Below are 13,010 nucleotides of genomic sequence, written 5' to 3'. Positions count from 1 at the left end.
TTCCCTAATTCTATGCAAACCTCACTTTCCCACCATTTCTACTATATTGCTAAAGAAAGTTACATAATCCTATTATTGACTCCTTTCAAATTTTTAGTGTTTGAACCCTAGTTGGACTCCCAAGGTTGCCAATGCAGTATTGTTATGTGGCATTCCATACATCCCTAAAAAGGGTTGACATGGCCAAATTTATGAAATTTATGAAATTTGGCATGCTGTGTTGCCTCTTCCTGGAGGGAGGCCTTGGGGCCAGTCTCCTGAATTGAGCTTGAGGATGCATTGATTTTTTTTCTGTTTCGAGGGGCGTGAGTATGATTATATTAGGTTATGGCCATTATTTTCTTTTTTTTTTTTTTTCCAGATGGAGTCTCGCTCTGTTGCCCAGACTAGAGTGCAGTGGCGTGGTTTTGGCTCACTGCAACCTCTGCCTCCCAGGTTCAAGCGATTCTCCTGCCTCAGCCTCACGAGTAGTTGGGACTACAGGCACTCGCCACCACGCCCAGCTAATTTTTGTATTTTTAGTAGACATGGGGTTTCACCATGTTGGTCAGGCTAGTTCTCGAATGCCTGACCTCGTGATCCAACCGCCTCTGCCTCTCAAAGTGCTGGGATTACAGGCGTGAGCCACCACGCCTGGCAGTTATGGCCATTATTTTCTAGCAAATTATACCAAGGGCTGAATATCCTCAGTTTGAGGACCTTTTTTGAGAACATTCTTTTGATAATTTAAAGTCCTTTTTTGAGCTTTTATTTAATGTTTCTTTTTTAGTAAATATACAGTTGACCCTTGAACAATGGGGTGGTTGGGGTGCTGTCCTGCACAGTGAAGAATCTGTGTATAACTTTTGACTCTCCTAAAACTTACGACCTACTGTTGACTGGAAGCCTTACCAATACATAAACAGTTGATTAACCCATATTTTGCATGTCACATGCATGATAAACTGTATTCTTTAAGCTAGAGAAAAGAAACCTACTAAGAAAATCATAAGGAAGAGAAAATACATATACTATTCACTAAGTGGAAGTGGATCATCATGAAGGTCTTCATCCTCATTGTCTTCACTCTGAGTAGGCTGAGGAGTGGTTGGTCATGCTGTCTCACAGGTAGAAGAGGCAGACTGGGAGTCAGGCACATTCAGTGTAACTTTATGAAAATAAGCAATTTTTGCCTGACTTTTTGCATTTTCATTTCTCCAAAAATGTTTCTGTGTGGTACCAGTCCTCCTTACACCTTTTGCTTTAGTTTCAGTGCCCATGTAATGGAAGGATCTGTGTTATAAAAGAAGTCAAAAGCAGCCTTCAATAATTAGAACCCTATATTATATATAGCTAGATTGTCCTATGTCAATTTGTTTTCTGGCACTGCTTCTTCTGCATCTTCTTCCTCATCATCTGGAGCTAGTTTAGAAGCACTGATCTCTGTTACGTCGTCTTCTGTTAATTCCTCTGATGTGTGGAGTCTGTTAGCCCTTGAATTTCTCTAAAAAGATCCATCTCTTGAAGCCCTTCACTCCCCACTTTTTTTTTTTTTTTTCCATATCCACAATCTCTTATGATTTCCTCGATAGGCTCTGGTGTAAATGCTGTGAAGTCGGGCACATCTGGATACTGTTTTCTCTAGTAGGAATGTATCATTTTGGACTTGATGGCTTTCATGGTTTTTTCTATAACAGCAATGGCATCTTCCATGGCGTAATCCTTCCATACTTTGATGACACTCTATCAGAGTTCTTTTTTGTAACATTGACGGTCTTTTCCATGGAGTACTGTGTGTAATGAGCCTTAAAGGTCCTTATGACTCCCTGATTTAGAGATGTTATTAATGTGTTCAGGGACAAGTAGATCACTTTGACATATTTGGTGTTGGAATCATGGGATTGTGGGTTACCAGCGACATTGTCCAATGTCAAAAGAACTTTAAAAGGCAGTCTTTTACTGGCAGGGTACTTGACTTCAGGGACAAAGCATTGATGGAACGAATCCAGAGAAAAGCGTTCTGGTTGCCCTGGCCTTTTTGTTGTGGCAGCCGGTGTTTATCTTTTCCCTTCAAGGATTGGAGGTCAGCAGCTTTATAGAGAAGGGCAGTGCTGATCATAAACCTGGACATATTTGCACAAAACAGTAGAGTTAGCCTGTCCTTTCCTACCTCAGATCTGGTGCTTGTTTCTCTTTTTGCTAATAAATGTCCTTTGTGGCAGTTTTTTCCCCTAGAATACAGCACTTGCGCCTGCATTAAAAACCCGTTCAGGCAGATACCCTTTCTCCTCAGTGATTTTCTTAATGGTGCCTAGGAACTAACTCATCTACTTTGGTTGACAGAAGCTCCTTTCCTGTTATCTTGACATTTTTTAAGCCAGCCTGTTTCTAAATTCTCAACCATCTTTTGATTTCATTAAATTTTCCAGCTTTAGATCCTTCACCTTAATTTTGCTTTAAGTTGTCATATAATGACTCCGCTTTTTCTCAAACCATGTAATAGTCTATAGGTACGCCTTTCTTTATAGCAATCCTGTACCTACATAAAACCTGCATTTTCAATATGAGATCAAAAGTTGTTTCACAAAAGGTGCAAGATCTTCACACCTGTTGGCCTAGCTGCAGTGGCAGCTTCACAAATTTTCTTTTTTTTTTTTTTTTAGCTGTAGTTCTTACACTGGATTCATTTATCTTGAAATGGTGGGCAACTGCAGCTGCAGACCTCAGTCTGTGGTACATACCAAGCAATTGGAGTTTTTCTTGTAATGTCATGATTTTTCTCTGCTTCTTGGGAGCACTGTCAGCATCACTAGTGGCACATCGTATGGATCTCATGGTATTAGTCAAGGCTTATGGTATTGCACTACACATGGTGAAAATTACATGAGAAATGTGAGAGATCACTTTTTACTGTGATAATTTACTGGAGAGAAGAACTGCTCATGCAGAGATGATTAGCCTCACACAGTGGATACTCGCAACACTTCCGCTCACCGTGATAGCAACAGGAGGTGGCGATGAAATTATTACAGTAGTACAGTATGTACTACCGTTAATTTTATGTAGTTAATGATTTAATACTTCATCTGAATGTTTACATTTCTCAACTGTAAATGGCTCCATGTATGGTCTGTGTTTGTGTAAGTTTTGATAAATTTTAACTTTTTATAGTAGATTTTTGTATTTCATGATGGTAAATGATAGAGTAGTATCTACATATCTTTTATGCTTTATAACATACCTTTTTCTTAGTTTTTTTCAGTGTTTCTAGGCTACCTGGTTTATGAGTTTTTTTCAGATTGTCTCAAATCTCCAAGACATTTTGCAATGTTTCTTGAATAAAATCTGTGTATAAATGGACCTATACAGTTTAAACCCATGTTGTCCACGGGTCAATTATATAGCTCTGTTACAACAACCATTTTGTCAGTGCCTCATGTATGTTTGTGATGGCTGTCATTTGGGCTCTCAATTTTTGTCCTCAAAACAATACCCCTTCCACCCTCCATCCACGAACATTTGCCTACATGTACTTGCAGAGGCTATCTGCATGTTGTGGACGGAAACTTCCAAGCTTACATCTTTGGTCACTTGCAACCTCCTCCCTTCTGAAATTTGTAATGTGCATTGGCATGTTGAAGCTTTTGAGAAGTTCTTCAGTAAAGAAGTCTATTTAACTTAATTTAGGAACTTCTTAATGTGTTTGTCCAGGCACCTTTTAAATTTTTTTGAATTGTAATTTACATTGCTAAAATGCACAGACTTCAAATGTTCAGTTCTGTGAGTGTTTTTGAGATAGAGTCTCACTCTCTCGCCCAGGGTGCTGGAGTGCAGTGGCACGATCTCGGCTCACTGCAGCCTCTGCCTCCTGGGCTCTAGTGATCCTTTCAAGTAGCTAGGAGTATAGACATGCACATGGCTAACTTTTTTCTGTATTTTTTGTAGAGACAGGGTTTCGCCATGTTGCTCATACTGGTCTTGAACTCCAGAAATCAAGCAATCTGTCTGCCTCAGCCTCCCAAAGTGCTGGGATTATAGGTGTGAGCCACTGGGCTCGGCCAGTTCTGTGAGTTTTGGTAACTTGTACTCATGTGTGATTACCTCTCAAGATAGAAAACATTCAGGAATTCAACAGTGGATTTACAGGAGCGAGGGAATAAAACAAAGATAGAGAACACTTTTGTCACCGTAGAAAGGTACTTTGTGCTTCTGTCCAAACATTTCCACTTCTCTTCCTTAGTGCCTCTGAGATGGTCATCTTGACTTGTCATTAGATTAGTTTTGCCTGTTGTGGGAAGCCATGAATGAAATCAGTCTATATTTCTTTGTCTTTTGCCCAGCATGTTTTTGAGACTGATCCGTGTTGTGGAGTGTATAAGCTCATTCATATTTGTTCCTGAGCAGTATTCCTTTTTATGAGCACACTATAATTATTTGTTTTCTTTTGATATTTTGGCTGTTTTTAGTTTTTGGCGATTATTAACATGGCTACTATGAACATTCTTATACAGGTTTCTTTTTGTGGACATACGTATTTATTTTTCCTGAATGTGTGATACAGGGTAGATCTATGTTTAACTTTTTGGAACTTGCCGGTTTTCCAATTGTGCTATATACCATTTTATACTTTCATTTCAGCAGTTTATGAATGTTCTAGTTGCTTGATGTGGTAGACTGAATCATGGTCTCCAAAGATATTCAGGTTCTAATCCCAAGAACCTGTGAATGTTGTTTTATATGGCAAGAGAGACTTTACAGATGTGATTAAATTAAGGATCTTGAGATGGAGAGATGATCCTGGATTATCTGGGTGGGCTTTAAATGTAATGCCAAGAGCTCTTACTAGAAGGCCATAGAGGGAGATTTGAATACAGAAGAGAAGGCAGTGTGACGATGGAAGCAGAGATTGGAATGATGTGCTCTGAAGGTGGGGGAGAGAGCACAAGCTAAGGGAAGGGAGCACAAGCTAAAGACTACAGGTAACCACTAGAAGCTGAAAAAGGCAAGGACGAACTTCCCCTCAGACACTCCAGGAGGAATCAGTCCTGCCAACACTGTGACTGTAGTTCATTGAAACTGATTTTGCTAAATTTGTGCTGTGATTGCGATTATTTGTTACAGCAGCAGTAGTATACTAATACACTCCACATCTTCATCAACATTTAGTAGTGTCAGAAAAATTTTAAACCATTCTAGATGGTGTGAAATGGTATTGCATTATGGTTTTAGTTTGCGTTTTCCTGATGATTGGTGATACTAAATACCTCTTCATGTGCTCCTGTGTCTTTTATGACATGTCTATTATTCTTTTCCTGTTTAACAAAAAAGCTGAGCTTACCTTTTTGTGTGATTTTTAAATTTTGTTGGTTTATGTTACATACACAGATTTGAGTATCCCTTATCCAAAATGCTTGGGACCCGAAGTGGTTCAGATTTTTTCCAATTTTTAGAATATTTGCATTATAGCTGTATAGTACAATGACCGTTTTTTTGGGGGTGTCATGTTGGTACTCAAGAAGTTTCAGATTTTGGAGCATTTTAGATTTCAGTTTTCGGATTTGTGATGCTCAGCCTGTATTTTTTTTTTCTTTTTCTATTTCTTTTTTTTTCTTTTTGAGACATGGTCTTGTTCTGCCACTCAGCCTGGAGTGCAATGGAGTGATCTTGGCTCACTGCAGCCTCCGCACCCCTGTGCTCAAATGATCCTCCCACCTCAGCCTCCTAACTGGGAGCACAGGAGGCACCACGCCCAGCTATTTTTTTTGTATTTTTTGTTTTTTAGTAGAGATGGGGTCTTGCCATGCTGTCCAGGCTGGTCTTGAACACTAGAGCTCAAGCAGTCCTCCTATTTTGGCCTCCCAAAGTGCTGGGATTACAGGTGTGAGCCACCATGCGTGGCTCAACTGTATTTCTCTTGTGGTTAATGCTTTTTATGTTTTAAGGTCATGAATGTATTCTGTGTTTTCCTCTAAGAGCTTAAGATTCTGCTTTCCCATTGAAGATGGTATGCACTTGTGGTTGAGGCTTGTTATTTTCCATGTTGTTGAAAAGTTGTTGAAAACTAGATTGACCTTGGGCCTTACTGGAAAATGAGTTGACTGTATATGTGTGGGTCTATTTCTAGACTTGTTCTGTTCCACTGATCTTTTTTTCTTATGCCTACTCTATACTCTTGATTACTAAGTCTTTTTAGTAAGCCTTGAAATAAGGTGGTGTAAGGCCTCCAGTTTTCTTTTTCAAGAATGGTTTGGTTATTCTAGTTTTTTTTTTTGTTTCCATATGAATTTTATATCATATGAATTGCTTAACTCTGCTGGAAGTTTGGTAGGGATTACATTGAATCCATATATCAAATTGGAAAGAATGGACATTTAAGCAATATGAATCTTCAAGTCTATGAACATGATCTCTCTTTGTTCAGTGTTTTTCATTTTTCTTAGCAATATTTTGTAATTCTTAGTGTTGAGATCTTGAGTATCTTTCTTTAGATATGTAGAAAATATCTGTTGTTTCAAGCGTATTTCTTGAAATTTCATTTTCCAAATCTTGACCCTTTATCTTGAAACCTTGCTAAATTTACTTACTAGTTCCAGTAAGTAGATTACTTGTAGATTCCATGCACTTTTCCATGGAGACAGTCATATCACTGTAGAATATAAAGTCAGTTTTATTTATTTCTTTCCAGTCTATCTTTTCTTTGTTGCATAGTTGTCCTGTCTACAATATCCAATGCATTACTGAATAGAAAGGGTAACCGTGGACATCTTTGTCTTATTCCCAGTTGTAAGGGAGAGATTTAATGTTTCTTTATGACATATGCTAGCTCTAGGTTTTTCATAGATGTCCTTTTCAGATTGAAGAACATTCTTTTCTAGTGTTGCTGGGAGTTTTAAATTATAGATGAGTGTTGAATTAACATTTTCAGATACCTTTTTTCTCGCTCATTTGAGAGAATCATAGGTGCGTTTTCTCCTTTGTACTATAAATGAGGTGCTTGATTTTTGAATGTTAAACCAATTTTGCTCCTTGGGATAAATCCTACTTAGTGATGATGACCTTTTCTATTATGTTGCTGGATGTGATTTGCTAATATTTTGTTTAGGATTTTTGCATCTAGTAGTAACAGACCTTTGCTGTGTATTAGTACGGGATCTTGGGCCCAAGCCGGCTTGTTGTCCCTTTTTCAGTATCAGACAGCTGTTGCTTCTCATTCCTCAGCATCTGTGTGCCTTTGTCTGGGACTGGTGGTAGCAATGTTTCCTCCCTTCCCGTGGCAGTAGAATATGGTGGTTATTGTTACAGAGTGAAAGGCATGTTTGTGTGTGGGAGATGGGCAAGTAAGTTTTGCTCCACAAATCCCCCAACTCAGCAGCACATGTCTTTTGCTCTACCCTTCCCTTTGAGGCAGGGGATCTTTGCTTGCCCTTGGGTTTGGTAGACTTTCCTGCCTCTCCCGTCATAGTTGAAGGCATTTGCTTCATACGAGATGCCACCAAATGGGAGGAAGGAGCTCTCTTCCGTTTTCTGCCTTTTTTCAAGAGCACTCAGTTGAGGCCCTTGGAAAAGAGCTTGTGAATGAGTGCAGATTCTCTTTCTATCGAGGACTCCCAGGGATTTTAACTGTTATCCTAGCTCGGCCTTTCATCCTTACTTTTATCTTTAATATTCAGCAGGTTGACCATGAATGTGTTTTCTTTCCATATGTGGATTAATATCTGTCATCTCTTGAAAAGTTTATGGCCATTATCTCTTCATACATTTTTTTGTTCCCCATTGTCTTTCATCTTTCTCTGGCACCCCAATTAAACCCAACTGACATTTGGTTTTGGATATTCTGAGTCCCCCCCCCCCCCACACTGTTTTTTCCCTCTTTGTGTTTCAATTTGCATACTTTAATTTGGCCTGTCTTCAAGTTCACTGCTCATTTCTGTTAAGCCCATCTAATGGTATCCTTAATTTCTAATACTATAGTTTTCATTTCTAACGTTTTCCTGTGATCCTCTTTTGTAACTTTGATATCTGTGATGAAGTTTTTTCATTATTCATGTTGCTATCTCTTCCATCAGTTTCTTTAGCATTTTTATTATAGTTATCTGATTTTATTCATGTTTTGACTGTTTGCTACTCCCTGTATCTTGTAATTTTTGATTGAATGCTGAACATTTGTATAAAAACAATGGAGATTGAAGTAAATAATATTTACTTTTAGAAAATGGTCCATCATTTCTTGTTTTGTCCAAGTGTGATTTTGGATCTCTTTTTGGTTTATAGCTGAGCCGTCAGCTTTCTGAACCATGAGAAATTTCTCTATAGCTCAGCTGTCAATTCCTTGGTCATTCTTATTTTCTTTCCCCCCACCCCCTCTTTCTCTAGTCCTGCCTCCAAGCTTTTGTGCCCAGTGAGACATCTTTCTGCTATTAATACCTTCCAGAGGTTTCTTTTAGCAATCCTACCCTGTCTTCAAGTTCGCTACTCATTTCAGCCTCGGTAGATCAATGTCCTGAGTATCTGGGTGAAAGTTTTCTCATCTTTCCTGTCCTACCGCAGCCCTTGGCAGCTCAATGTCTAGACTCTCTTGGGATCATCTTTTTCTCACCTTTCTTGCCTGTCCCTCCCCCCATCCCCCATTGATGAGGGTAGATTTTTTGCATTTATGGGAGATCTTAAGCTCCTTAGGGGATCTCCCTCAGCTTTCCAGTCCTGTTCCCCAAGCTTTGACATACTTTTTGCAAGTACTTAGTGGAAACCTATGGGGATGAGTGGTTGGGGTGGATGCACACTTGCTCTGTGGGATCCTTGCAATTTAATATGTCATGTCGGTGTGCATGTAGGCTGGTTTCTTCTTTCTTTCATTTATGGCAGGATTATTCCTCACTAGCCGCTCCACCAGGAAAGAGACCATCCATGCAGCCTCTCTTCTCTCAAGGCTCAACACTTGGAATTTAGTTCTTCTTAGGCTGCTTTGTATCCTCAACTCTGGTTCAGAGAGACCATGATTTTGTAGCTTATCTGGCTAGTTTTGATTATTAGAATGAAAGTGATGCTCTGTTGTAACTTTCTACGTCCTAATCAGAAGTGGAATTCCTTCTATGGAATACTTTTTAAGTATATAGTCTGATAATACATAACTGACACGTTTTCTGTTGTTTCATAATGGTTGATTTTCTCAGGGCTACGTTTCTCTATTTTTTCCTGTTCTCAAATCTTAACTCTCCATCTCTGTCCTCAAGTGGTAAGTGATCTTGTGTCTTATTTTGAAATTAAAGTCATCAACAAATTATTTCAACTCATAGATTTATAGTTGTGGAAGACTTACTATTCAAATGGAATTAGAACGTTTTGGGGGATAGGATGCAGTAGTTCTTGGTAGTCCAAGACTCTTAATAAAACAACTAGAAAAGCCAGGTAATTTACAAAATTTATATATTTAGCGATAGAGAACAATGGGTGTAAAAATGATTAAAGAAAGCAAAATTTTGCACCCTGGGGGAATACCTTTCACAAGTGAGCTGAGAGGTCTGCAGCTGATCATTGTTTTTCCTGGGTACAGAGTAGAGGAGGCCTTTGGGCTGCAGCCTGAGTGGCAGATTGGAAATATGAGGGGCCTTTAAACACAGAGAACGCCCTCAGTATATTCCTAAATTCTGTAGTTCAGCTGGGCGGAAGAGATAAACCAAAATCTCAGAAAAGGAGATTGGGATATTTTCTAGTCCTATGGTGTTGAGATAAAGATTCTCTAGGGGAAGCGACTTGAGAACAATAGGTGAGAGTTGAAAGCGTTTGAGGAAGTGGTGAATACACACTGATGATTTTCAACACACCCAGTTTCTTCCCCCGTAGACATTTGCCAAATTCTGAAGCTGCTTAGGCTAGAGAGCTAAACCAGAAGTCTCTTAAAAACAAAGCAATTCTTATAGTATCTAGGTACCTAGAAGATAACGATCTGCTAGCTTTTGAAATGAAGGCTCTGCAGAGTCTCATCCTAGGAACAGGGACAAACCAGAGGTAGTCTCCTTCATAGCAAAACTGCTACTCAGCAGTGTTCTATGATTCTGGCATTATAGAGGAAGTAGTAAAAGTATATGTATGAAAATTGTGTTAAGTGAAGGATGAATAAGAAAATATCTAGGGTAACCACTAAAAGAAAAGAATGTAACAAATGAATACAGAAAAAAATTGGATATAGAATATGTGATAAATTCAGAAGAAGACAAGAAAGAAAATATAAAACAAGCAGGCAACTAAATTAGTAATTATGTTACATGGAAATGGGCTAAATATTTCAAGTAAATGGCAAAAATCATCAGACTGGACAAATAATAATTACCTAAATATAAGTACCTAGAAAGATTGAGAGAAAATGATGCGAAAAGGTATACCATCCAAATGCTAACTGAAGGAAATAAGTGTGGCTATACCAATCAGGCAAAGGAGACTTTAATACAATAAACAGTAGTAGAAAAAGAGAACTACATTTTATAGTGTAAGGGGATTGATCCACCAGAGTTACCACAATCCTTTATGTGTACCCAGTAAAATAGCCCAAACATCTATAAACCAAAAATTTTATTTTGAACTAAAAGAAACAGACAAATATGCCATCACAATGGATGCACATATATAGGACATACATACATCACAATTAGCAGGCTTGATCTAATTGTCATATGTAGAACATTGAAACTATTAATGGTGGTATTAACCATCTTTTCCCTTGCACATGGAAATTGTACTAGAATTGACCATAAGCTAGGGCCATGAACAAAGCCTCAGCAAATATCATTGATTTTAATAATTGAATATGTTGTTTGTATTATAGTAAATAAAAATAACTAGAAAATTCCTAGCTGCCTAGAAATAAAACACTATGCTTTTGAATAACATATGACTTAAAATAAGAATTTATGATGGCTATTAGAAAATATTTTAAACTGATTGAAAATGAAGGTGAACTACAATGATCTAGATTGCTGCTGCTGAAATGCTAAGATGAAATTTATAGCCTTAAGTCTATGCATTGGAAAAGAAAGCTTTTTTAAGGAGGTAGAAAAGGAATAGGAAATCAAACCTAAAGACAGTAGAAGTAAAGAAATAATGAAGACAAGAGCAGAAATTAGTGAATAGAAAGTAATCTTACATAGAGAAAATTGACAAAGCTAAGAAAAAGTTGGTTCTTTGAAAAGATTAATGTAATTGACCACTTAGCAAAACTGATAAAAGGAGGATGGGGAGGGGGAGAGAGAACATAAATTTAAATAATAGGAATTGAAAAATGTCACATCACTACGGATCCTACAGCCGTTAAATAGAGGCATTTATGAACAGTTTATGGAGAATATGGGATAGGCAGAGTAGGCAGAAATTTTGAGTAGTTAGGGCTGGATCATTCAATATGGGTAGGCAGCACCTTTGTGTAGCTATTGAGTACTTGAAATGTGGCTAGTCCTAGTTGAGTTGTCCTGTAAGTGTAAAGTACTCAACAGATTTTGTAGACTTAGTATGAAAATTTTTTTTATATTGATTGCAGGTTGAAATGATGGCATTTTGGATATATTGGGTTAAATACATCATTAAAATGTTGCCTATTTTCTTTCCCTTTTTAAAATGTCATTAGAGAACTTAAAGTACATATGTAGCTCATATTACATTTTTATAGAGGTTGTTATATTGGCTTTAAGATAGGTACTGTTATCCTTATTTTACAGCTGAGAAAACTGGGGTGTATAGAGGTTGCCATGCAGCTAGTAAGTGGCATCCTTGGGATTTGAACCTGGCCAATTGGCTTCAGAATCTGTTCTCTGAAGCATTACACTGTTTATGGGTTCTTAAAGGATATTAAGTCATTTTACTGTTACTTTTTGCAAATATTGAAGGATTTTTAGTAGTAGGGTGACATGCAGTATGCATTTTAGAAAGCTGTTTGCATCAAAGAAGGTAGAAGGTGGTGACTGAAAGACTAGTTAAATGATTTGTAGATTGAGAAAGGAGTTGGAGCTAAATGTGTCATTCTAATCCTATCTAATGGACTAATTTGTCAGGCACAGATAGCTCTGTTGATTGTATAAAGAGCTCAGCCTTTAATGGCTCTTTTTAGGTCTCCAGATTAGCTTCAGATTGTTATGTGCAACACAATGCATTGACACAATTAAGTACTTGTTCTCTGGCATCATGCTGCTTGATATAAATCCTAGTGTTGGCACTTAAAAGTTGTGTTACCATGTTGTGTTGCTATAAATTGTCCTTTGTATTCATGACACCTTTCTCCCTAATCATCCACTTTTTTTCCACATTTGATAACTCCTTTATATGTATTTCTTAGAATTTTTTTTTCACTGAACTTGGCGCTTTCTGAGCTCTCCCATATACCAGCATTGCGTTTCATTACCACATGACAGTTTGATCTCTCTGCTAAGCTCCAAACCTTTGTTTCTAGCTGCTTATCGGGCACCTCCTTCTGGAATTTCATAGTCACAGCAAATTTAGTTTGACTAACACAACACTTATGTTCCCCAAATACTTCGTATTTTGGCGAATTGTATTTTCATTCAACTGGTTTTTCAAGCAAGAACCTGTAATTTGTAACTTTTTCTTAATCAACTCTGTTCCTTCTATGTCCCTAATAGCTATTCTTCCTTTTGTGTATTGCAATTCTCTGCTGGTTGATCTCTCTGCCCTTAAAAACTTACCCCTTCTCCATTCCCCACTGCCAATACCTTGCTACAAAGGATTTCTTTTGTCCTACCCGTCCCAGCTCAACAGTGTAGTTTGCAGATGAATAACACAGACTGGATTTGAGAATAAACAGGTAAATACAGGCACAATAGACAGGCAAAAAAAAAAAATTGTTGAATGCAAAAAGGAATGAATAAATGGCAAGCTGCCAAGGAAGTGCAAATATTTCCTCAGGAAAATCTTTCCTGACGCCTAAAGCAAAATCAGATGGTGTTTCTTTGTGTACCTGTAATCCCCCTTGCAATTTCTCTTAATTGTCATGTGTATTTTAATCATGGCAGTCTTCTTCACTAGTCATT

General features: G+C 37.9%; 1 protein-coding gene across 6 annotated transcripts in view, besides 1 other annotated feature; it reads left to right on the top strand.

Moving 5' to 3' along the window:
• The window catches only part of SMAD2 (SMAD family member 2), a 121,916-nt gene that overhangs the window by 19,164 nt on the left and 89,742 nt on the right, over positions 1 to 13,010 (top strand). The window lies entirely within an intron of this gene.
• Positions 9,684 to 9,733: an enhancer, noted in NCBI's record as "active region_13287". NCBI's record gives its function as "activates an Ori minimal core promoter by ATAC-STARR-seq in GM12878 lymphoblastoid cells {active_cell/tissue: GM12878}" and the evidence as "EXISTENCE:reporter gene assay evidence [ECO:0000049][PMID:35858748]".

Source organism: Homo sapiens, chromosome 18, assembly GCF_000001405.40.
Source record: "Homo sapiens chromosome 18, GRCh38.p14 Primary Assembly".
NCBI classification, from domain to species: Eukaryota; Metazoa; Chordata; class Mammalia; order Primates; family Hominidae; genus Homo; species Homo sapiens.
This window is presented reverse-complemented; position numbering and strand designations above follow the sequence as displayed.